Genomic DNA, 25037 nt, shown 5'->3' on the forward strand with positions numbered 1-25037 from the left:
TTGTTTTGAGTTAATGTAACTGGTAAATTGATTTTTCCCTAAACGAGGGGTTGGCAAACTTCTCTCTGCAAAGGGCCAGATAGTAAACATCGTAGGCTTTGAAAGCCATGTCATCTCTTGGCAGCTCTTCAGCTCTACTACTGGACCGCCGAAACAGCCAGACACAGCGTGTGAGTGAGCGGTCATGGCTGTGTGCCAGTAGAACTATTGGTGGATGCTGAAGTCTGAATTTCAGATAATTCATGTATCATGAAATAATCTTTTATTTTTTCCAACCTCAAAGATATTTGAAAACCGTTGGTAACTCATAGGCCATAAAAAACAGCAGGTAGGTTGGATTTGGCCTGGCTACAGACCACAATTTGCCAACCCCTGCTCTAAACGACATGCTGTTCTGATTGTCGTATTAGAGATACTTATCAATATTCACTCTCTGACCTTTCCATTTCTAGGCTTTTGAAAATCATGAATTTGCAACAAATTGGACGAAATTATTATAACCCAAATGACCCAATTGATATTCCAAGTCACAGGTTTGTATGAAGTAGAACGTTTAATATTCCTTAGGCTTAATGACAGACTTTTGAGACGATAACCTAATTTGAAATGGTCAAATTTACTACAGTGACTGTTAATGCCGCCCATCACATTATGTGACTATTTAACTTGAATAATGAGGAGACATCCCAGAATATTTGGATTTTTAAAAAATCACGTAATTTACCTGTCACTAGGGAAGAATACATAGTTGTCCAGTGCTGTTTGTATTTTTGCCCTTAGGTAATAAAAATAATCAGTTAATGTGGTGTATCAAGATTGCAGCCCAACTGAAAAACCACCTGCTGGGTATTGTGCTCCGTGCCTCAGTGATGGGACCACTCATCCCCCAGACCTCAGCATTATGCAGTATGCCCATGTCACAAACCTGCACGTGTGCCCCTTGAATCTAAAGTTGAAATAAGAAATAAAAGGCCGGGCGTGGTGGCTCATGCCTGTAGTCCCAGCACTTTGGGAGTCCAAGGCGGGTGGATCACGAGGTCAGGAGTTCTAGACCAGCCTGGCCAAGATGATGAAACCCCGTCTCTACTAAAAATACAAAGATTAGCCGGGTGTGGTGGCTGGCACCTGTAATCCCAGCTACTCGGGAGGCTGAGGCAGAGAAGTGCTTGAACCCGGGAGGCGGAGGTTGCAGTGAGCCGAGATCGTGCCAACTCCAGCCTGGGTGACAGAGCGAGACACTAAGAAAATAAATAAATAAAAAACAAAATATTGCAGCCCAACAGGTTTAAGTTTATCATAATAATTGTGGTGCTTTCAATTAGATTGGCAACTTTTTAAAAGTCTTAGGCCAGTGTAATGAATAGCTGAATAAAGTTAGTACATTCATTTAAAATGAAACTTATACAATTATTATAATGTTGTTGAAGGTCTTAAAGCTGGAACCATGTAAATCCTAGAAATAAGGAAATTGATTCATTCAGAAACTTTATAGTTTAGACCCAGTTAATAAAAGTGAAAACGCAACTTAGTGTGTGCAGAATGTGTTGAATGTGGAGAGGTTCTTCATGACCCCCATCTCGTCTGACAGGTTGGTGATTTGGCCTGGCTTCACTACTTCCATCCTTCAGTATGAAAACAGCATCATGCTCTGCACTGACGTTAGCCATAAAGTCCTTCGAAGTGAGACTGTTTTGGATTTCATGTTCAACTTTTATCATCAGACAGAAGAACATAAATTTCAAGAACAAGTTTCCAAAGAACTAATAGGTTTAGTTGTTCTTACCAAGTAAGACTGCTTTTTAAAGTGCACAATAATTTTTTGTGAGTCAAAGTATTGTGGCTTTCTAGTTCTACCATGTTAAGAAATAGTGTTTAAAATTGAGTGGTGGGAATAGCACAAAACAAGGGTGAGGGTATTTTTCAGCTTTCCCAGGATCATAGTTTTGGAGATGACATAACTCATCTGGAGAGGACAAATAGCTAGTGATTTTTATCCTTTTAAATTATTTTATTTTCTGTAAGTAATTTAGTCACTTCCCCCATCCATCTGGCATAGTCTGTAAGAAACCCTGTTCCTTCTTTTTCCAACCTTGTATATAACCAGGTGATTTGAAATTTTAGAGAATACATGCTGTCTAGTCTCTCTTTTTAATATTAGTTCTTCACATTTCCATCAAATGCAGTCAAATCTCAACTGATCCCTAGGTATAACAATAAGACATACAGAGTGGATGATATTGACTGGGACCAGAATCCCAAGAGCACCTTTAAGAAAGCCGACGGCTCTGAAGTCAGCTTCTTAGAATACTACAGGAAGGTAAGATGCCAGTGGTTAGATCTCAGGAGAAATCCAAAATATCTTTGGTAGAATTCTCTAACACTTGTTGCACATTTGGAACAAGTTGCGTTTAAAGCTGTGTGTAAATGTATTTGTTAGGGCAATCACAGCATAATTTTATTCATTACCAAATTATTAAAATGCCTCTTTTTATTTGGTACAGTTCACATAATGAGAAATGCCCTCTCCTGGTTCCCTTTTTCCAGTAGAATGAAAGCTTACGTTTGAATTGAAGCCTATGGAGGACAAGTAGGTTGGATAACAGGTGGCGAGCAGTGGGAGTTAAGAGCTTGCCATACTGTCTCTCCCTCCATAATCAACATTTCATTTAATTTCACCTTGGAGACGGGTAGGAATTAAAGATCTTTGAACCTTCAGTATCATTTCTGCTAAATCTACTGCCTGTGGGTTAACTCTTAACTTTTGATTTACATGTTAACAAAATGCAGACAGGCTTGTTAGCACAGGCTAGATCAGTCTTTTGGGCGATCATCTAAAACAGTTTTTAAAGAGATGATTCTAGTTTTGAAAAGATCATCAAAGGCAAATAGCAGGAAAGAGCAGCTATTGACTAGAAGAAACTGAACTGTTCATGTAAGAATGCATGCTAACATTGTTTCAGTACTCAGATGAGCAGATCTGGCCCCCAAATCCTTAGAACGTCACATTCCATTTGATATGTTAAAAGCGCAGGAAGATTATTTCTAGAAAACTATCAATTAAAATCTCAAAACTTGTCTTTGAATTGCTAACATTTCACATTTTCTTCTACTTTCAATAGAGTATTTCCTGTTTCTAAAAATTTGGATAAATGAGCTTAAATATGAAAAGTATTCATATTTTGCATGGAAAGTATGCATCTTATCAGTGGCCTTGGAAAGGTCTGTGTGCTGCTGTCCAGCTGCTCTGCTGTGACTAAAAAGATGAGAAGCCACTACGGAGGGAGGGATTCTATGAGACGCTGCATGAAGGGCTGACCTTATTCCTGGCAAGATGGAAACAGCCAGGGGTCATTTCAGCATGTCTTTCCTCCCACTGTTTTCAGCCTCTTTACTCCTTGAGGACTCCAACCATGCCTAACCTGGATCCCTCTGGGTGTCAGAGGTTACTGTGAGGAATGAGTTGTGGCATTTTTCTGTCGTTAATTTTAGTGATCACTCTCAGGGATGGTAGAAGTTGGTATATCAACAGCAAATATAAAGGAAACATTAGCTGAAAATGTGATTTAAACCTGAAGCAAGGTCAGTGGAACCTCTCCCCTTCCCTGACTGGTACTGAGTGTCCTGTGGCAGCTCATCCTCCTGTAAGTGGTGTTTTACGTGTTATCATACTTAGGAGCTCTGCCCAGACCCCTTTTACTATATGTTCACTCCCTGGGTGATTTCCAGTCTCCTCTGCCCAGGCTTCAGGCATGAAATGTTAAGAATCCCCAGACTTCCAGTTCCAGCCTAGACTTGTCTAAGCTTAGCTGCCTGGTTGTTCTTAAGTATTTGGATGACTCAAAGATACCTCTCCCATGTTGCCAGTGTTGAATGTGTTCTGTCTTCTCAACACGGCCCCTACTCGGTGCTCTTGGTCAATGCAGATAAGGTAACTTGGACAGAGGCAAGAGATTTTATGGTTTATATACCCCATGCCTAAGTAGGTTCTTGGGTATTTGAATAAACAAATGGTGGATGAGTCACACGTCAGATCTCCGCACCTTCCCCTGCCTCCTAGTACTCTTTTGTCCGGTTCTGTCACTCACCTTGTTATCTGAATTGCCTTCATTTTTCTCCTTTTCTAAATGGCATCTCCTGTCCAGGCCCTATTTTTATAATTCATTTAACAAGTCTTAGTATTTATTTCCTCTACCTTCTGATCAATCAACTCATACACATCTGTTCTTCTTCTTCCCCTTCCCCCCAGAAGTGATGTGGCACCCGTGGCCCTGTGTCTGGTGAAGTGTGGTGATCTTTCTCCATGAGACCCTGCTTGCTGCTTTATTCTCATGGCGTGTCCCCCACTGTGCCTTTAGACTAAACATAGGGTTGTGTCCCCTCTGTTGGACACACCTTGTATGCTTATGCTTGAGATCTCAGCTCAGCTTCTTTCTCTAGGGAAGATTTCTCTGGAAATCAGGGATAATCAGATGTCTTTAGTAGAAATAATTAATGAAAGAGGTTGACGTTAAGATATTTAAAAGAATCAAAGCCTTCTTAGATTTTCTGGTAGAAATGCAGTTTTACTAGTAAGTGATGGTTTGGGATTGAAGATAATATCTAGGAAACAGAGTAGAAGAAGGAAGGGTGTTTGGTAGAGAAGGTCATAGTTGGTTTTTAAAATAAAAGGTTTAACAGTAATGTCTAATAAAAATGAGAGTGCTGTTTTTTCAGGTGTAGAGGAAAATGTTTAAAAATATTTGACAGGGCCAGGCACGATGGGTCATGCCTGCAATCCCAGCACTCTGGGAGGCCGAGGTGGGTGGATCACCTAAGGTCAGGAGTTTGAGACCAGCCTGACCAACATGGTGAAACCTCGTCTCTACTAAAAATACAAAAATTAGCTGGGTGTGGTGGCATATGCCTGTAATTCCAGCTACTCGCGAGGCTGAGGCAGGAGGAATCGCTGGAACTCGGGAGACGGAGGTTGCAGTGAGCCGAGACAGCACTCCAGCCTGGGCGACAGAATGAAACTCTGTCTCAAATAAATAAATGAATGAATGAATGACAGGCTGTTTGGCACCTAAGAATATAAAAGTGGAGGGGGCGTAGCGAGTACAAGTTCTGTATCAGGAACCATGCCCTTAAGGCCTTGGGTGAAATAGGGTGAGAGAGGACACATTTCTGAAATTACGACCACACTTCTACCACCTGTGTTTGCAAGTCAGTGATGTGGTGTGGAGGGTAACTGTTCCCAGACTCCTCATTTTAAAATGTGATAAAATAGGTAGTATAGCTACGTGAAGCAGAGGTCAGATGTGAGTGTTCTACTTAAAATTTTCTTATTTGAAACAAGTCAAGAACGGGCTAGAATTCATGGTTTCTTAATTCACGAGGGCTTGTAGTAGGTGGCCAGGACCTTGCCATATGCTAGGAATAAGAAATATGCAAGCACCCTTAGTCTGCTGATGAGAGACAGATTAAGGACATGCTGTGATGATGTTCCTCTGGTGTGCTCAGGGAAATGTGTGGTTTGTTCTTCTGGTGTGCTCAGTGGAGATGTGTGTGTGGTTTTTTGTTCTTCTGGTGTGCTCAGTGGAGGTGTGTGGTTTTTTGTTCTCCTGGTATGCTCAGTGGAGGTGTGTGTGTGGTTTTTTGTTCTTCTGGTGTGCTCAGTGGAGGTGTGTGGTTTTTTCTTCTGGTGTGCTCAGTGGAGGTGTGTGGTTTGTTCTTCTGGTGTGCTCAGTGGAGGTGTGTGGTTTTTTTGTTCTTCTGGTGTGCTCAGTGAAGGTGTGTGGGTTTTTTTTTTTTAAAGCTGGATCTGATTTAAGCAGGATGCTAAGAAAATCTGTTTTTGGCAAGATACAGGATATGGTAGGAAAGAGGATCTTTGAGACACAGAGCCAGAACCTGTACTGAAGAGAACTCAAACAAAGTCTGTCATGGTTCTAGAATTGCCGAACTGAGCTGGAGGCCAGAGAGCTCATCTTTTGAGGACATTAAATCATGAATATTGGCTGGGTGCCGTGACTCACGCCTCTAATCCTAGCACTTTGGGAGGCTAAGGCAGGCAGATCACCTGAGGTCAGGAATTGGAGACCAGCCTGGCCAACATGTTGAAACCCTGTCTCTACTAAAAATATAAAATTAGCCAGGCACGGTGGTGTGCACCTGTAATCCCAGCTACGCAGGAGGCTGAGGCAGGAGAATCACCTGAACCCGGGAGGCGGAGGTTGCAGTGAGCCAAGATCATGCCACTGCACTCCAGCCTGGGTGACAGAGCGAGACTCCATCTTCAAAAAAAAAAAAAAAGAATGTCATTTTTTATTGTTTAACAAATTGTCAACGCTTATTTTGGGCAGTGATTGCATCTGGGGAACCTTAACACTTCTCAATTGAAATTTGACTTCTTGAAAATATCAAGATTTTATAAAAAACTTTTTCTGATTAAACCTGCCCTGTAGCGTAGGAACTTCTTCCTTTCCCCTCTGTATTCTCACGGTGAGACTGCTTTTATTAGTAAGTTCTCTCAGTAACAGAGAATAGTTTTAGAGGAATCATCCTATGGTGAAGTTGCAGAGTTACACAGACTACTGTTTCTAAACCAAGAAATAAAAAATTAAGCAATGAGAACTGTGACTAACAAAGTCTGAACTCAGAACCATACTGTCCTGGACCATCACAGTTTTTAGGAAAAAGATAGGGCACTCAGTAGAGCATAGAAGTCACAACCTCTGTTTTAAGAATGTTAAAAAAAATGCCTTTTTAAAACTTTACTCTGAAGCTATTATCAGCCTTGCTATTGGCATCAGCTCTTTATTTTTTTAAAAAATGAAACCCTTTTTGCCCACTGAGATGCTACTCGAGGCATTTGCCGTGAACAGCGACCCTTTCGTCTCTTGAGCAGCAATACAACCAAGAGATCACCGACTTGAAGCAGCCTGTCTTGGTCAGCCAGCCCAAGAGAAGGCGGGGCCCTGGGGGGACACTGCCAGGGCCTGCCATGCTCATTCCTGAGCTCTGCTATCTTACAGGTACTGTTGCATTTCATTTACTCGGAAGGAAGCCACTGGATTTACCCTTTCTTTCCTAGGAGTCCTCAGACATTCCTTTACTTCCCCTTCCCTCCCCCCAGAAAACCTTTTATTAAAACTGCTTTGTCTCCTGGGAATTCCCACTCACCATCACCCTATACTCCAGTTATTTAGACCTGATTATTATTTCTTTAACCATATGCCTTTAAATGTCTTATTTAAAGGTCTAACTGATAAAATGCGTAATGATTTTAACGTGATGAAAGACTTAGCCGTTCATACAAGACTAACTCCAGAGCAAAGGCAGCGTGAAGTGGGACGACTCATTGATTACATTCATAAGTAAGTCATTGATTTCACTGGGGCAGGGTTTCAGTTTTGTGTTTAGTATTTTATGTGGCTTTGAGGGGTATCTTTTGAGGGAGTGGCAGAAAGTAACTTTCTCCTTTGGTATCTGTAGTATTTGGGGTGGGCTTGTTCTTCGTGTTTCTAAGCAAGGCTACCTATACCTCACTTATTCCTCAGGAAATAATGAAGTTAAACTTTGCAGTGCGTAGTCTTTCTAACTCTTCCATTAGCAAAAGGTGACAACAGAAAAAGGGGATGTTTCTGGTCAAATCTTTTTTCTATCTTTGTTATATCAAGGGGTTTCCTTTGACGGGGAGAAAGTTTGGGCATCAGAATTTTAAGTTAAAGAATGTCATGAAGAGAAGCCTGAAGGTGATGAGAGAAAGATGATTGTGCTCCTGTGCCAGCTGGCATTCTCACCAGCGCCTTCACCCTGACGGCGACATTGGAGTGTGTTGTAGGCTGGAGTGGATATCTGTTTGACTGTGTCTTCTTGCTGTGTCTCTTTGTTGAGTCGCATGTAAATGTGTTAAATTTACAGAAACGATAATGTTCAAAGGGAGCTTCGAGACTGGGGTTTGAGCTTTGATTCCAACTTACTGTCCTTCTCAGGAAGAATTTTGCAAACAGAAAAGATTCACCAAGGTGGAAAAACAGTAAGGCAGTTTTTCGTTGGTGTTGTTGTTGTTTTTGAGACGGAGTCTCGCTCTGTCCCCCAGGCAGGAGTACAGTGGTGCAATCTCAGCTCACTGCAAGCTCCGAGTAAGGCAGTTTTTAAAGTTGACAATCAAGTGAGGCTTGGGTCAGATCACAATAAAGCAAGTGGGAAGAACTGAGTTCCATGCCAGAATGATCTTTTCCTCACCTTTCTCTTCTCCCCTTGCACATCCACTCTCTATCAACCCACATGAACAGCCCGGGACCTCAGAAATAGGTACACCCCAGGAGGAGAAAACGTGGAAGCCCTAGAGAATGTGGAGCCTGTAGCTGGGTCCTCAAAAATCATCTGTAAGACTTAGCTAAAAAGTGGTTCGATTTTTTTTTTTTTCAATAACTTGAGCTAAAGTGTAGAATCCTAACTATCTGCTTGGGTTGATATTTTGACTGCCACTAAAATGATGGAAAATCCCTGATTTGATTGGCCTGGATCATTTGTTTATAGAGATAATATATTAATTATTATGATACCTTTTATGTTTCATTTTCAGAAAAGGAAAAGTATTCTAAAAATATTTTTAGTGTAATTAAAGCACTGTAAAGTGCCAACATTTTCATTTTTTTTTTTTTTTAAGAAAATGTCCTTCCTGCCTTTGAAATGTCCTGTGAACAGTGATCTCACAATGTAATTTAATATTCTGGTTGCATTGTTTACGCTATCCCCTGCGTGAGGCCAGGCAGGGAGGTGGCCAGGACACGCAGAAGACACCGGGCTGCTCCCTGTGATGACCAGCACTCGGGTGCTGTGCCTCGCGTTTATTTCACTTTCTGTCTTGCTGTCAGATGTTTTTGTAGCTTGCTTGCGGCATATAACACCTCAGTCAAGTTGTTTTACTCTCAAAGCCTTATTTTTTAATATTTTCATTATGAAGAAAGAGTAGCTATACTTGTAAGATTTTTTAAAAGATTAAGGAGAATGCGACTAAAGCACTTAGGGAAGTACCTGGTCCAAGTAAGCATTTGTGTGGCAGCTGTCAGTATGAGTGTATTTTAAGTAAAATTGCCATCATCCTTTGGATATATTTTAGAGTCTACCCCCATTGAGGACATTTTCTCTGTCCCTTTAATTCAAGCATAAAAGTAGTACACTAAGTTTCAAAATATGCCATGGTAGAATTATTGAAGACTGTTTGGCTTGATCACTGAGAACTTACAATGGAATTTACAGTGTGTCTGAACTCTCTTCTAGTTTGATTACAATCCACAATTTGCAGATTGGTCCAAAGAAACAAGAGGTGCACCATTAATTAGTGTTAAGCCACTAGATAACTGGCTGTTGATCTATACGCGAAGAAATTATGAAGCAGCCAATTCATTGATACAAAATCTATTTAAAGTTACACCAGCCATGGGCATGCAAATGAGAAAAGCAATAATGTAAGTTAATCAAGTCATTTCTGCTCTGAAAATTGCTTGGCAGTCATTTGGAGGGGTGGGAACTATTAAACATACAAACTACGTTATCTTAATTGAAAGGTTTGATGTGGCTCCCTGTAATGCAGATAAACAGAAACATATTTTAATAACTAAGAATGGGTGGGAGAAGCAACCAAGTAAGACAGTTTCTGAAACCTGCGTGCTTAAAATATTGCTCGTTTGTATTAGAAACAGCCCTTGGCATGAATGGCTAGTCTCGGTGTTTGATTTCATGTTTTATACGGAAACGTTTCCTGTGTTACACAGGAAGGTGTTTATGCACGGTCCATTTGTCGCTACTGTGTCTGAGTGTTGGATTGTGTACTTTCATTCTAGGATTGAAGTGGATGACAGAACTGAAGCCTACTTAAGAGTCTTACAGCAAAAGGTCACAGCAGACACCCAGATAGTAAGTAACTAATTGACATATAGGCAGTTTTCGGTGAAAGAGCTTTTTCAAAGGGGGCATGTGTACATTTTGGAACTTGGAGTTCTTTTTTCAAATGTTAATAGGTTCTCAAACTAGGCACAAAATATGTTTTGTAACCATAAAGTAGCTAAGCTAATGCTAGCTTTAGTTGTGCACCTAGGAGTTTGGTTTACATACTGCAAAAGGTGAGGAAGGGGTGGAGAAAAACAAAGCCATCTTCAATTTATTCAGACCCAAAGGCTTTACTTAGTCTAGAAAATTTGGAAAATACAGAAAAGCACAGAGGTAAAAATCAGCTGTTGTTCGGCACACGTAGACGTATGATTGCGTAATTACATGGAAGCTCCCCAGACAGCCTAGTGCCAGGTATGGGAAGAGTAGGGTCGCAGAGAGCAGGGAGCCCTGAGTGACACTCAGCAGCTTGTCAGCTTCCGCATGCATCCACATCACCCCGAGGGGTCGGGATAGGGATGCAACCACTCTCCTAAGCTCTTTCCCCTTTTACCTGCAAACGTGTTGTTGTTGTGTGTGCTTCACCCACCCATCCAGGTGAGTGAGTGATGACTCAGGAGGGGAGGACTGAGTCCCGAAGAGCCCATATGCCTGTTTGCCAGAGTCTCGCTACCTAGCGTGGGTGTGTGGGAGGTGCAGAGGGTTAGGAATTGGAGACAGGGACGTTAGATGATGGCAGCCACTTAATGACGGGTGGTTTTCATTGGTGATCTGAAATTGTGGGGACATGCAGCAAGTGTGTGTTGTGGTTTCATTTTTGTTGTAATCTGTAGCGCAGTTATTAAGAGGGTAAACTCTGAAATCAAACCCCTGGGTTCACATCCCGGCTCAGCCATTTGCCTGATCTTCATCAAGTGCTTCTGGCTTTATTTCCTTTTCTGAACAGATTTAGGTGGTAGTAATAATAGTAGTGAACCCTCACAGCACTTCTGAAGTTTAATGGCGGTGTCATGCCCGGCCCCTCCCTAGTAGCCCAGGACATGTTAATCACTGTTGCTGCTGCCGCCACCAGTCAGCTCCTCAAACTCAGCGAGTCTGAGTTAACTCTTCATTTTCCCAATCCCATCAGTGTTTTGAATTATTCAGGGGAAAATTACCCCCCTTTTCTCAAGCTAGTTTTTTAGGCTGTCAGGTATGTCTTGACTTCACTGTTTGTCCAGCTTTCTATAAATTGTTGGTTAGAAACTGTCCGTCACTCTCGCACACTGCTCTCTAGTACAAGGCCATCTGCCTCGTTCCTGTCGCGTCCCCAGCACTGAGAACAGGGCCTTCTATATTCCAGGCACCAGCATGTTGTACGACTATGGCCTGTCGTTGTTCACCATGGTGTGCTTTAGGCGTGGTCAGGCTGCCATCCTGCTCATCCTCTCTCTCATGCACACACCCCTGCACACACTTCTGACACACTTTTCTCAAACTTGCCTTTGTGTTTTCCAGCAAAGTTTTCAACTTGAAAGCTTTCTAAGTTATATTTCTTCTCTAACACTCCTCCCACCCCTGAAATTCTATCAACATTGATATGGTTGTTTTTGGTCTGTATCTAGAGTGTAGCCTTTATAAACATGATAGCAGTGCCATAGTTTTCTTGTAAGTCCACACACCCAGCCTAATGTAGCAAAATAGAGCCAGACTCATTGTCAGGGAACTCCGGAGTTGTCCAAGTCTTAATCACATTTGGTCTAGAATCTCCTTTGCATTCAGTCTTTGTCCAAGAACTTGGAATTGTGGCCTCAAGACTTCCTGGTCCATAGTGGAAGAAAGTAGGGCTTAGACATTTACTTTGCAGAAGTGAAAGCACAGCCGAGCCAAAGACCATGACCCCTGAAGAGCTTTCTTTGCACTCTACACCCCCATGCCCTGTTCCCATAACCATTCCCTGCCCTGCTCTTGCTGCCATGAGCCCCTGGGTGTTGGGGAGGGTGTCTCACAAGTAGTCCTTTTATTCAGGTTCTCTCAACTTGTCCAGTTTGAATATTCCATCTATTTTATTGGGGCCCTGCCTGATAAAATCTCCAAGACAAGTACTTCAGCTCTCCTTATTTTTAGCAGAGTTGGTTGGTTATTGTTAGAAAACTGACATACAAAGGTCATAGTAGCCTGGGACTGTAGTGGGTGATACATAGAAGTTCAGTCAATTCCTATTGCTTTTTATACCTGTAGCATAAAATTGCCAGAGATCTGCTGAGGGAACATGGAACTTGCAAAAGATAGAATGACAATATGAGATTAAGATGTAAGTGGTAAGGAAAATTATGATAGGTTCTACTATTATGTCATTATGATTGTAAAGTAGGAAGGGAAAAATGACATGCATGTGAACAATAATTAGTTCAGCGATTTCACTGATTATTAGGCATTTATATCCTTGGCTATTTTAAAAACAAGTTGAAAGTACATATCTAGTTCACAGGAAACATTCTGAAGACAGCAGCACATTGTGGGGTATCGAGTGCTAGGATGAGTTTCTTCTGCCCCGTTGAGTTTTCATACAGCCACATTGCAATGAGTTGGCAAAGACAGATTTAGTGATAAACAATACATCTGTGTTGCCATAAGCCTAAGAAATGAATTGGCTTCTTCTAATGTGTTCATTATTTTAGCCCTTCATGTCACACTTTAGATCCCACAGGCAGATAGCTATTATGTTATCTGGGTAATGGAAACACCCAAGGTGGGAAAATTATTTTGCTGGGCACTATAAAAAGGGAAGAGAAGAATCTGGGAATATAAATTGGAGAACATGGCAATGAGTTACAAGCTGGATTCAGGCCAGGCGTGGTGGCTCACACCTGTAATCCCAGCACTTTGGGAGGCCGAGGCAGGCGGATCACAAGTCAGGAGATTGAGAACATCTTGGCCGACACAATGAAACCCCATCTCTACTAAAAATACAAAAATTAGCCAGGCATGGTGGTGCGAACCTGTAGTCCCAGCTACTCTGGGGGCTGAGGCAGGAGAATCAGTTGAACCTGGGAGGCGGAGGTTGCAGTGAGCCGAGATCGCACCACTGCATTCCAGCCTGGGCAACAAGAGCAAAACTCCATCTCAAAAACAAAACAAACCAAACTCCCGAAAGTTAAACTTGGATGCCCAGAATTGGGGCAGGGGCATGTTGAGATCAGGCGCTCTGTTTTGTCCCCAGAATTGTCCATGGACCTCCTGTGGAAGTTCATAGTTTGATCAGATTCTCAATCCAGAGCTTTAAAGCTTACAAGTTACAATTGTAGATGAATCATGAGTAAATTAAGACTGTGGGAAATCTTTAATCTGTCTACCTGTCACTTGTCACTAAATTTTTCTGTGCTGGTTACATAGAGCATATTTAAGTTCTCAAGTTTAAACAGTATTCAGTTTTGACTCATAGTTTGCTTAACATGATTTATTTCCTTCACGTGCAATTATCATTTAGTTGAACATGATGAGCAGTATTTGTTAATGTCCTACTGATTAGCTGTGTGGCTGAAATGAATAGTAAAATAAATGATCATGTTCTTGACATTGATACTTCACAGGTGAGTTTAGTTTCCTGTCCTCTCCCTTGCTCTTAATCATCTGTCTCCTAATTCTTTGTAACAAGGGCACTTTGTTTTCAGGTTGTCTGTCTGTTGTCAAGTAATCGGAAGGACAAATACGATGCTATTAAAAAATACCTGTGTACAGATTGCCCTACCCCAAGTCAGTGTGTGGTGGCCCGAACCTTAGGCAAACAGCAAACTGTCATGGCCATTGCTACAAAGATTGCCCTACAGATGAACTGCAAGATGGGAGGAGAGCTCTGGAGGGTGGACATCCCCGTGAGTTTGATTTAATTGGTAGATGCCGTTTTAAAATTGGTATTTAAGAACATGGATTTACTTTTTAAATGTTGCTGGTACTCCATTGTATCTAAAATTACCATATTTGTATTGAAGCTGAAGCTCGTGATGATCGTTGGCATCGATTGTTACCATGACATGACAGCTGGGCGGAGGTCAATCGCAGGATTTGTTGCCAGCATCAATGAAGGGATGACCCGGTGAGTGAGACTGGGCTACTGTGGGTGGCAGTGAGGACATAAAGCAGGGTTCTGGAGGTTCAGGAGTAGTGTTCATTCTTCGTTGTTATCCTTCCAGTTTCTCAATCATATACAGCAACGAATTTAGGAAAGAAAAATAATGACCTACCCTAGCTCTTGAATGACTTTCATCCTGTATTCGTCAAACTGCATTTCAGATTTTTTTTAATCATATGTATTGGCGAGTACATCTTGTTAAATGTGACTCTCTCTAAAAATGTATTTGTTTAATAATATTTACTGGCCACTGAAATGTAGTTTCACATTTTGATGTAGAAAAACCACTTCAGTTTACCCAGTCACTTGTATTTCAACATAATAGCATTATTTTTCAGTGCTTTTCTTGGAACTAAGGGAATTGCCAAGAATAGTAATATATGAAAACTGAAGGCATGTTAGTTGTTGACATTAGTAATGGATATATTTCAAGGTCTTATCATTTTTAACTTTTAGTTTCAGGAGTGCATGTGCAGGTTTGTTACATAGGTAAACTCGTGTCATGGGGTTTGTGGTTCAGATTATTTCATCACTCAGGTACTAAGCCTAGTACCCAGTAGTTATTTTTTCTGCTCTTCTCCCTCCTCCCACCTTCCACCCCCAAGTAGGCCCTGGTGTCTGTTGTCTTCTTTGCGTCCATGAGTTCTCATCATTTAGCTGCCGCTTATAAGTGAAAACAGGTGGTATTTGGTTTTCTGTTCCTGCATTAGTTTGCTAGAGGTAACGGATGGAGCTGAAGGTCTTTCATCTTTTAGAAGAGTGAAACTTACAATGAATAGTTTCTCAAGAGCACAGCCATGAGTGTGCTTCTGTGCGTATTTAGGTGTAATAAACCTGGACAGCGCCTCTGGGTATTATAGCTAAATTCTGTTTTCTCCCCAGCAGCTGGAATCATGGTACTGATTTGTAATGAAAACAGACACAGTTTGTGATGCTGATACGGGATCTCTTGTATCCTGCTCCTTCTGTGTAAGGTTTTTATAAAGTATTTGGAGATGTTAACAGATGTCTTTAAGGCAGTTACAAAGATGACAGATTGCTAAGAGTGAAATAAATATAGAATAATTCAGAAAGGAAAAATTGATAGACAATTGCATTCTTATTCTAGCTGTGTTTTTCTCTGAATAGCTGGTTCTCACGCTGCATATTTCAGGATAGAGGACAGGAGCTGGTAGATGGGCTCAAAGTCTGCCTGCAAGGTTAGTCACCTGTGGGGTTGCCATTCTACTCTCTAAACTGGGGTCTTCCAGAAATTACCCTGAACTGTGTTATTGATGGGCCCAGACTTTGGGAAGAACAGACGAGTTGTGTCGTAGGCATGAATTGACATAAAACTTCTCTGGCCTGTTTCAGCGGCTCTGAGGGCTTGGAATAGCTGCAATGAGTACATGCCCAGCCGGATCATCGTGTACCGCGATGGCGTAGGAGACGGCCAGCTGAAAACACTGGTGAACTACGAAGTGCCACAGTTTTTGGATTGTCTAAAATCCATTGGTAGAGGTTACAAGTAAGCATGCAAATTGTAAAGCATTTTCTTTTTATAAAACTGCACCTTTGTATCTTTGAAATTAGCATCACAAGATGAAAGGATGAGGGAGAACCTAACTTGATAGGGACTGTAGGGCCTTTGAGGTGATGGGAAGGGCAGAGGGAAGTTTCTATTGGAAATTTTTCACAAGAAGGCTGTGTTGAGGGGTAGTATAGAGGGTCATTCCTTCACAGAATGGGACAGTAAGACACCATTACCAATCATTGATCAGCTTTCTTTCTTACCTAAGGCCTTGGAGTGCAAGTATCTGATAATTCTGTACATCCAAAGGCGTCCACAGGATTCATTATTGAAATAAGTGTTCCTGACAGTCTTAGCTTACTGAATACTTGTTTCATTTCCTTGTGGACTTGACTAGTGTTTGATCAGTAAGGTGATTTGGCGAGCATCTAGTCTCATGGGGCAGGGGTAGTTCTACTTTCTCCCTTTTTTTTTTTTTTTTTTTTTTTGAGATGGAGTCTCGCTCTGTTGCCCAGGCTGCAGTGCAGTGGCACAATCTCGGCTCACTGCAACCTCCGCCTCCCAGGTTCAAGTGATTCTCCTGCCCCAGCCTCCTGAGTAGCTGGGATTACAGGCGTGCACCACCACACCTGGCTAATTTATGTATTTTTAGTAGAGACGGGGTTTCACCACGTTTGCCAAGCTGGTCTCAAACTCCCATCCTCAGGTGATCCACCCATCTTGGCCTCCTAAAGTGCTGGGATGACAGGCATGAGCCACAACTCCCAGCCTCTACTTTGTCCTTTTAAGGAATGTGGACAGCCGAGGATGGTATCCAGATGCTGCACTTGTTTTCCTTTGAAACCCATATTGGTTTTTGTCTTCCTCTGCTCTCCTACAGACATTTCCGTCAGTGCCATTATGAGTCAATAAAATGTGTACCATCGCAAGAGAGCCATTCTAATCAGTTACGTTAACTAGTCCTCTTTATCAGATCTGTGAGTGATTTGAAATCAGGGACTGTTGTATTAAGGGCTAAGTGCATAATACATTACAGATTTAAAGATTGAACTTTTCAGGATATTTGGAAGATCTTGGATCCTGTTTCGTGTGCTTGCACATACATATTACACACCCATTATTCTTGTATTTTAGCATTTTGTATCATTATAGAAAGGAGGGATTCTGAAAGCCACTGGCCACATCTGGGGCTTGATTTTATCTGGTGCGTAGGAAAAGGACAAGCACCAAGAGGTCATTCCTTATTTCTACTAACGGGCTTCTGAGTCATCTTTGGCCAATGCTAAAAGGCCCCACACAATAAGTGTTTATCCCAGACGTTTCTTAAAATGACATGTGATGCCGTGAAGGTCTCAGAGAAAGTCAGGAGTGTTTTTATCTTTTTTGAAATAGTTGTGTTTCAGATTAAAAGACCACGCATTTTTTAATATTTTGGAAATGAAAGTTAATGTTCTTTCCTATTCCCTTAAGACTCTTAATGCTTATATTTTGTCAAATAATGATACTTTGTTTTCAGGCTTTAGAAGCCTTATTGTATGTTGTTCTCTGACTTGGCCTTTCTGTCTGTGTGGGGAGGTGTGGTGTGGTGTGTGCAGCAGGCAGTAAAGGAGGCTCTGACTTGGACTGCTTCTTTCCTACTCTTTTTTTCCTGCGATTTACTACTTGAGCACACAGTGTTTTCTAGTCTTTATTGTCATTTCCTCATACCTGAAGTGAAGGAAATTGTCAAGAAATGATGAATAGAGGTCATAGTGCAAGTTCGTCACATTCCCTTGAGCTGAATTGTAGGGCTACTAGGAGTACACACTCCTGGCCTTGCTGGGTCATCTCTGTTTCTTAGGGTCCTTTGGGTTTGATTCCCAGAAGGACTGGCAGAAATGGCTCTTGAAAAGGAGGTTGCCACCCTAGTGAATGAGTACCTGTGCACAGTCGTCCTGAGTGTGCAGAGTGGACCCTGGTGCAGCTGGTGGGTGCGCCTACCCAGCTCCATCAGCGAGTGGGAACACAGCGTTGCAGGGAAGGAGAACCTAAGTCGACTGCTTGGGCTGACACTTAGTGCACTGTTGCGTGAAGTAGACTGCACACTGTGAACTGTGGCAGTAGGGATCAGTGGTAAAAAGCAATATGTCTTAAAATCAGAGTTTGGTTAATCCCAGCTTTAGCTTCGTTTGTAGAAGAAGGGAACAGTTAACTGAGGCATTGCAAGGCGTAAATGAAAATATACGTAATGGACTTCACACAGTATCCAGTAAGTATTCAATACATGGTAGATAGTTCTGGGAAAAACCTTCAAGTTGTACATAAAGGTAAAATATCTGAAAATTATTCTTCACTTTTAGAAAATGCAAAGTTTGGACTTCAATGTTTGTCTAATAGTTATCATTAGAACCACAATGTTTGCTTTCAAATTGAAATGTTGCTTTTAAGCTTTTATAGCAACGTATCACAGGGCAGCTGATTTAGACTGTTTGATGCAAGAACAAATCAGAAAGTCATGCCAGCATATTTGTGACCTGTTTTTGTTACTATATTTGCTAAATTGTTTCTCGTGATGTTATAGGATTAACTTTATCCACCTTATGTCCTTCCGTTCCTAAGACTGATACTTGTTTTAGATGCTGTCATGAAGTCCTAGATAGTCATCACTTTCTAACAAGGCCCTATGCTGAACTTAATCTCTGTAAGTGGCAGAGGCATTTGAAACAGAGGGCTGCACACATTTTCAACACGTTCATTGTGGCTTTGTTATATTCAGAGCTATTAGCACGGGCAGTCGCTGGGCAGCAGTAGTCTGCGTAGGCAGATAGGGACATTTCTGAAGATGTCCTCTGCTTACTCAAGTACTCTCACTGAGTTTCTTGCCCTATTCAATTTTCAGTGAAAAACATCAGCAACATTGCCGAGTCAGACATTACTAGGTCCATACTGTATAAAACCCTCTGCTTCCCAGCATTGGAAATCAAGTGTATCTGTCCTCTTAAGGAACTAATGTTGTAGTTGGAGATGGAGGTGCTAATAATCATGTTTATCTAGTGCTTACTACCTGGCAGTGCTGTTCTAATTGCTACCTGTTCTAATTCATGGATTAACTACGTGGATTGTGTGTGTACAAGTGTGGCTGCTTCAGAAGGATTTGAAGTGAGCCTGGAGGAGGGGGTGGAAAAGGATGTGAAAGGTACTCAAGCAGACCAGGCAGTGCAAGTGCAGGGCTGCTCTCCGCAGGGTCAGAGGGAGGGCAGAAGGGCCAGGGATCTGCCGGGACGGACAGCTGATAGTGCACGGCTGTGTCCAGGCCAAGAAGCCTGATGAACCTTGACACAGGAGAGCCGCCTGAAGAATCCAGGTGGGGATGGGTGGCTAAAAAGGGCAGCCTCTAGTATGGGTGCATCTGGCGTGTGGTAGGCCAAGGAGTGTGGGGCCGTCCTGGGGTCTGCGGAAAACGTCATTTGAGACTCCGGTGAAACACGAGTATGAAAATGAAGTTACTCCTCCTGAAAAAGGTATATGAATATGTAGTATGTATGTATGAGTGTGTGTCTGTGTGTATCCCCGATATATAGTGAAACGGTAATTTTGAAAAGCACTACTTAAATCCACTTACCTGTCAAAGATTTTAGAGTTAATATTATATTTTCTACACAGTAGAAAATGCCCACTGAAGACTGTTATAAATTGTGAATTTTGAAGACATGCTGGATTTAACATTTTGGTGTGATTGGTATGTAATGTGTTTGGTCTATGGATAAACCATCTACATGACCGTGTGTCACAGGACATATGTGCCATTTGGTTTCCCTCTCACCGTTTATCCGTGGTCTTTACTCCTGTCAAGAGTAAGATCCTGATCCTTCTCCACAACCTGGACAGATGATACGCCCCAGGAGGGATGTGTTCCTTTTTAAATGGAGCATGTGAACACCTGAATGAATGAGTGCCCTGAAAATATGACTGGCTAAATGCAGTTACATTCATCATCATTTTTAAGCCCTAGACTAACGGTAATTGTGGTGAAGAAAAGAGTGAACACCAGATTTTTTGCTCAGTCTGGAGGAAGACTTCAGAATCCACTTCCTGGAACAGTTATTGATGTAGAGGTTACCAGACCAGAATGGTAAGTTCCATGTGATGAGCTGAAGGTTGTTTTCTCCTTGGTGGTGGTTTCTTTAGCATGGCCCCTATGCTTTACCAATTTTAATACATTTTACTTTTGTTCTTATATTTTTTATAAACATTAATTTTTTCAACTAATTTGGTCAAACATAATTAATAAAGCCCATGGTTTCCTGGTGTCTGAACAGAGGTTTCCAAGTACAGTTTTTCATTGGGGGAAAGAGGATTATTTTCTGTGGTATTAACTACACATAGGGAGATTAAGCATTGCTTCTGTAGATTGCTTTTATATTTTTTACGTACATAACCTATCCACAGATTGTTTTCTAGTAAAAAGTGTTTAGATTTGTAATACACTTAGTTGTCTAAAGGTCAAGAAGTTTTATCTGAGACAGAGGTGCTTATGAGTAAAGTGGCTTCTGAGCCGAGCTGCACTCACCGACCGCAAGAAAAGCAGAATGCCAGCCGGAGCTTACAGCGGGCACCGGCAGGCACAGGGAAATGGCCTTAGTAGCACGGGAGGATTCCGTGAGAAAGTCAGGAAACTTGGCTCCTTTTTTGGGACAGAGTCACTGTGTTCCCCAGGCTGGAGTGCAGTAGCATAATCTCGGCTCGCTGTAACCTCTGCCTCCTGCGTTCAAGGAATTCTCATGCCGTAGCCTCCTGAATAGCCGGAATTACAGGCATGCACCACCATGCCGAGCTAATTTTTGTGTTTTTAGTAGAGACGAGGTTTCACCACGATGGCCAGGCTGGTCTCAAACTCCTGGCCTCAAGTGATCCGCTCGCGTCAGCCTCCTAAAGTGCTGGGATTACAGGCATGAGCCACCACGCCCAGCCGAAACTTGTTCCATTTTTAGTGAGTTCCTCAAAAACCCTTTTGTGTGAGGTGTTGTTAATGCAGTGAGCATGTTCGTGATGGCAACCCATCAGTCATTCTAAGTTGACACTGTACTCAGGACAGCGAATCGTTGGGAGGACTTCTGTTTTTCTATGTAGGTGCTTTGGAACCTTTGTGAAGAAGGCGACTTTAAGAGGATAAAGTCTCGGCCTGTGTGCAAAGTTGACATGTGGAACACTTCTCCTGTGTGAATCTTGGGTAAATGAGGCAATACTATAGCGACTTTAGGTGGAAAATGATAATAGCATACAGAGTTTAGTCTTATCTAGTCTGCTCTGTTATCTGACAGTGGAGAGAAATTTTTATTTTGAAATACATTATCTTGGATTTCTGTCTTTTTCTCAGACAGATGTTATGGCATTGGCTTAGGTTAGGTTATGGCATTGGCTTAGGTTACAAGGTTCTAATAGGTTAGAAGGATTCTAGCCTATTGGGGAAAAATTGGCTAGAAAGACAAAAGAAGGCTAAGATGTTAACATAGCAAATTCATTTCTGCAGGATTCTCTTTCACCGTATTCAAAACGACCCCCGATGCTTTCCAACATTGCTACTACTCCTAACGCCAAAGCCCAGATGTGACATTGGCCTGAAGACAGTAACTTAAACAAATTGGGTAAAATCCCAGTTGAATTATGAAGTATAAAAAACGTCATGAGTTTTCACTAGATATTATTAAAATGTAGCAACTGCTGATGCTATTCGGACACCTGGAGAAGCCCACTCTTTTTTTTTTTTTAGTTTCATTTTAAGTTCCGAGACACACGTGCAGGACGTACAGGTTTGTTACATCGTGCCATGGTGGTTTACTGCACTTATCAACCCATCACCTAGGTATTAAGCCCCACATGCATTAGCTCATGCATTAGCTATTTATCCTGATGCTCTTCCTCCTCCTTACCCCCCAACAGGCCCCAGTGTGTGTGTCATTCTCCTCCATGTTCATGTGTTCTCATTGTTCAACTTCTGCTTATAAGTGAGAACATGCGGTGTTAAGTTTTCTGTTCCTGCATTAGTTTGCTGAGGATAACGGCTTCCAGCTTCATCCATGTCCCTGCAAAGAGCATGATCTTGTTCCTTTATATGGCTGCATAGTATTCCATGGTGTATATATACCACATTTTCTTTATCTGGTCTCTCATCAATGGGCATTTGAGTTGATTCCATGTCTTTGCTATTGTGAATAGTGCTGCATGAACATACATGTGCATGTATCTTTATAGCAGAATTATTTATATTTATTTGGGTATATACCCAGTAATGGGATTGCTGGGTCAAATGGTATTTCGGGTTCTAGATCTTTGAGGAATCACCACACTGTCTTCCACAATGGTTGAACTAATTTACATTCCCACCAACAGTGTAAAAGTGTTCCTATTTCTCTCAGCCTTGCCATCTGTTGTTTCTTGACTTTTTAATAATAGCTATTCTGACTGGTGTGAGATGGTATTTCATTGTGGTTTTGATTTGCATTTCTCTAATGATCAGTGATGTTGAGCTTTTTCATGTATGTTTCCTGGACACATAAATTTCTTCTTTTGAGAAGTGTCTGTTCTTGCCCTTTGCCCACTTTTTAATGTTTTTTTTTCTTGTAAATTTGCTTAAGTTCCTTGTAGATTCTGGATATTAGACTTTTGTAAGATGGGTAGATTGCAAAAATTTTCTCCCATTCTGCAGGTTGTCTGTTCACTCTGATGATAGTTTCTCTTGCTGTGCAGAAATTCTTTAGTTTAATTAGATCCCATTTGTCAATTTTTGCTTTTGTTGCAACTGAGAAGCCCGCTCTTAATGAGCACCAAAGTCATCTGTAATCACCAGCACTGCAAATGGTTTGTGCCTAAGCTGGGAAGCCGGGCTTGGATTCCAGCCCTGGCATGATTTCGCTGTTCTTTCTGAACAAGTCATTTAACATTTCTTAACTCCTCATTCTTTGAAAAGGTAGCTATACCATCTGTTGTAGATCAGTTCTGCTTTCCTAATTTTACTAGTTTTGATGGGCATAATAAATCGCAGGGTTAATTTCCTTAAATCTTTATTGGGTCAAATTACAATATCTCTGGATTGATATTTTATTGGTACCAAGAAAATGAAAAAAAAAAAAAACTAATGCGTATTCCTTCATATTTGTACTACAGGCGGCTCTCTTTATCTGTAGGTCCTGCAACCATAGATTCAACCAACCTCGGATCAAAAATACTTGGAAAAAAGTCTGTACTAAGCATGTGCAGACTTTTTCTTGTCATTATTCCTTAAACAATACAGTAAAACAACTATTTACATAGCATTTGCATTGTATTAGGTATTATAATCTAAAGATGATACTTTCAAGTATATGGGAGGTTATAGAAAGACAACATCATTTTATATTAGGGACCTGGGCATCCGAGGATTTTGGTATCCTCAGGAGGTCCTGGAACCAATTCCCAATGGATGGCTATACTTGGTTTTTGTTCTTCCATTTGGTCCCATACTAGTTTATATTCTTTCATGTTCCCTTCCACTTAAAGATTTGCATTAAATTCCTGGGGATTAAAATGAATTCTACTTTTGTTAAATAACAATGGGAACAGCAAGAGGGGAAAAGATTCCGTGGTAAAAGCATGTTTGGGGAGTAACAGTCCCTGAAGCTCGACCCACTCGCTGCCCCCACAGGTCGTGCTTCCAGAGTCTGAAGGCTCAGTCACATGGTTCGGGGGTCGGGGTGGAAAACAGGAACTGGCCAAGTATGCCATCGTTTTTAGCGCCCGTAACAAATGCTTGGTTCTGCTGGGAGGCATCATGACAGATATTTAAAATCAAAATCATCATCTTTATGATAAACATCTTTCACACATAAGCAGTCCCAAATGGTTCATGAATAACAGGCTCCTGGACTTCAAGGAAGCACGTTACAGCGTGAGAAGAGATGAGGTTACTGTAGTAACTTACAGTGAAGAGTGGTACAGAGCTTTTCACTGTAAGAAACTGGAATCACCCTAATTTTAGTTTTCAGCACATCCGTGTGTTTTCTGTAATTCCAGGTATGACTTTTTTATCGTGAGCCAGGCTGTGAGAAGTGGTAGTGTTTCTCCCACACATTACAATGTCATCTATGACAACAGCGGCCTGAAGCCAGACCACATACAGCGCTTGACCTACAAGCTGTGCCACATCTATTACAACTGGCCAGTAAGTGCTTCTACTTGTTGATGTTTAGCAAATAAAGGACATTCACTTTTCAAAATGAAATAGCTGTGGTTTAAAAGGCTTTTAGGGTTAATACTGAGATTTGCAATTGAAAGAGGCTAAGTCTAGAGTAATAGAACCTTTTTTTCCTTCCACTAAAGGGTGTCATTCGTGTTCCTGCTCCTTGCCAGTACGCCCACAAGCTGGCTTTTCTTGTTGGCCAGAGTATTCACAGAGAGCCAAATCTGTCACTGTCAAACCGCCTTTACTACCTCTAACCTGCAGAAGACGATGCAGCCGCTTTTCTTTTTGAAATGACTTTGGGATTTTTTTAAGCTTTTATTTACTTTTTTTTTAACTGTTATCTTTCTGGATGAAACTTGGGAAGGGGATTAGGAGATCTAGCATTTTATTTCTAGCATTGCTATTCACCGGCTTCCTTATTTTATACGTAAAAATTAAGATTTTATATTTTATCTTCTTGTTTCTCATAGATATTTTGTGAGCATTTTTTTGTTTATTTTGAAGAAATGTGGATAAGATACTTGGTAGTATAAAACAGACTCTCTGAGAGTATTTGAAATGTGTTTGGAGATTTACTTAAACGTACTTTCAGGAGTGAGCAAGTCCTACTTATAAACCTATATTAACTTTATTTTTGAGATACCTGTTTTGAATTTAAAGGAGATAAGAGGCGTAAAGTAGGATGCTCACTACAACCATAGGTGGGGTTTCAGCTCATATCTTAAAGATAAAAGGTACTATTATATAACCTATACACAAGATACAGGAGAAAATATGCTTGATTTTTATTTGGCAGGGGGGCTAGGTTGTATGGGAGTAAAAAAAACATTGAAAATTTTTAAATTGTCCAAAGAAACATTTTAAGACTCTTTAACAAAAAAGGCCATGAGTAAATCTCTATATTAACATTACTATTTATTTTGTTTTGGAACTGGGACATGATTCTATTTGTTATAAAATAAAATTGATGTGATTGTCACCTTATTTGAATAACTGTAATTCTTGTTTTACTGAAAGTATGTGCGTTTTCTTTTCATTTAATTTTTAAAAGTGCATACAATTCCATTCATAAAAGCTAAATTAGCCTGACCAACATGGTGAAACCCCATCTCTACTAAAAATACAAAATTAGCCAGATGTGGTGCCAGGAGGCTGAGGCAGGAGAATCACTTGAACCTGAGAGGCGGAGGTTGCAGTGAGCAGAGATCACGCCACTGCACTCCAGCCTGGGCAACAGAGTGAGACTCCGTCTCAAAAAAAAAAAAAAAAAAAAAAAAAAAAAAAAAAAAAAAAAAGCTCAATTAGTGTCTCTTACGAACTCTAATGTCAGAGTAAAATTTTTT

General features: G+C 41.2%; 1 protein-coding gene across 9 annotated transcripts in view, besides 3 other annotated features; it reads left to right on the forward strand.

Moving 5' to 3' along the window:
• The window catches only part of PIWIL1 (piwi like RNA-mediated gene silencing 1), an 88374-nt gene that overhangs the window by 9764 nt on the left and 53573 nt on the right, over positions 1-25037 (forward strand). For 5 of the 9 annotated variants that reach the window (NM_004764.5, XM_011539002.4, XM_011539003.4 and 2 more), the window contains exons 7-21: positions 453-533; positions 1589-1786; positions 2206-2317; positions 6887-7013; positions 7238-7355; positions 7903-8017; positions 9268-9455; positions 9831-9903; positions 13530-13730; positions 13848-13951; positions 15116-15186; positions 15341-15494; positions 19483-19608; positions 23526-23673; positions 23832-24987. In NM_004764.5, coding sequence (NP_004755.2) covers positions 453-533; positions 1589-1786; positions 2206-2317; positions 6887-7013; positions 7238-7355; positions 7903-8017; positions 9268-9455; positions 9831-9903; positions 13530-13730; positions 13848-13951; positions 15116-15186; positions 15341-15494; positions 19483-19608; positions 23526-23673; positions 23832-23948 — 1933 coding nt within the window. In that variant the 3' untranslated portion in view covers positions 23949-24987. Of the gene's footprint in view, positions 1-452; positions 534-1588; positions 1787-2205; positions 2318-6834; positions 7014-7237; positions 7356-7902; positions 8018-9267; positions 9456-9830; positions 9904-13529; positions 13731-13847; positions 13952-15115; positions 15187-15340; positions 15495-19482; positions 19609-23525; positions 23734-23831; positions 24988-25037 lie in introns of those variants that run through there. The other 4 variants (XR_007063144.1, XM_047429892.1, NM_001190971.2 and 1 more) reach the window with 4 other exon arrangements.
• Positions 8571-8740: an enhancer, noted in NCBI's record as "experimental_25828 CRE fragment used in MPRA reporter constructs". NCBI's record gives its function as "activates a minimal promoter by MPRAs in K562 erythroleukemia cells, with activity observed for the introgressed 12:130840851 variant allele {active_cell/tissue: K562}" and the evidence as "EXISTENCE:reporter gene assay evidence [ECO:0000049][PMID:34662402]".
• Positions 11747-11916: an enhancer, noted in NCBI's record as "experimental_25829 CRE fragment used in MPRA reporter constructs". NCBI's record gives its function as "activates a minimal promoter by MPRAs in K562 erythroleukemia cells, with activity observed for both the introgressed and non-introgressed 12:130844027 variant alleles {active_cell/tissue: K562}" and the evidence as "EXISTENCE:reporter gene assay evidence [ECO:0000049][PMID:34662402]".
• Positions 12905-13074: an enhancer, noted in NCBI's record as "experimental_25830 CRE fragment used in MPRA reporter constructs". NCBI's record gives its function as "activates a minimal promoter by MPRAs in K562 erythroleukemia cells, with activity observed for the non-introgressed 12:130845185 variant allele {active_cell/tissue: K562}" and the evidence as "EXISTENCE:reporter gene assay evidence [ECO:0000049][PMID:34662402]".

Source organism: Homo sapiens, chromosome 12, assembly GCF_000001405.40.
Source record: "Homo sapiens chromosome 12, GRCh38.p14 Primary Assembly".
NCBI lineage: Eukaryota > Metazoa > Chordata > Mammalia > Primates > Hominidae > Homo > Homo sapiens.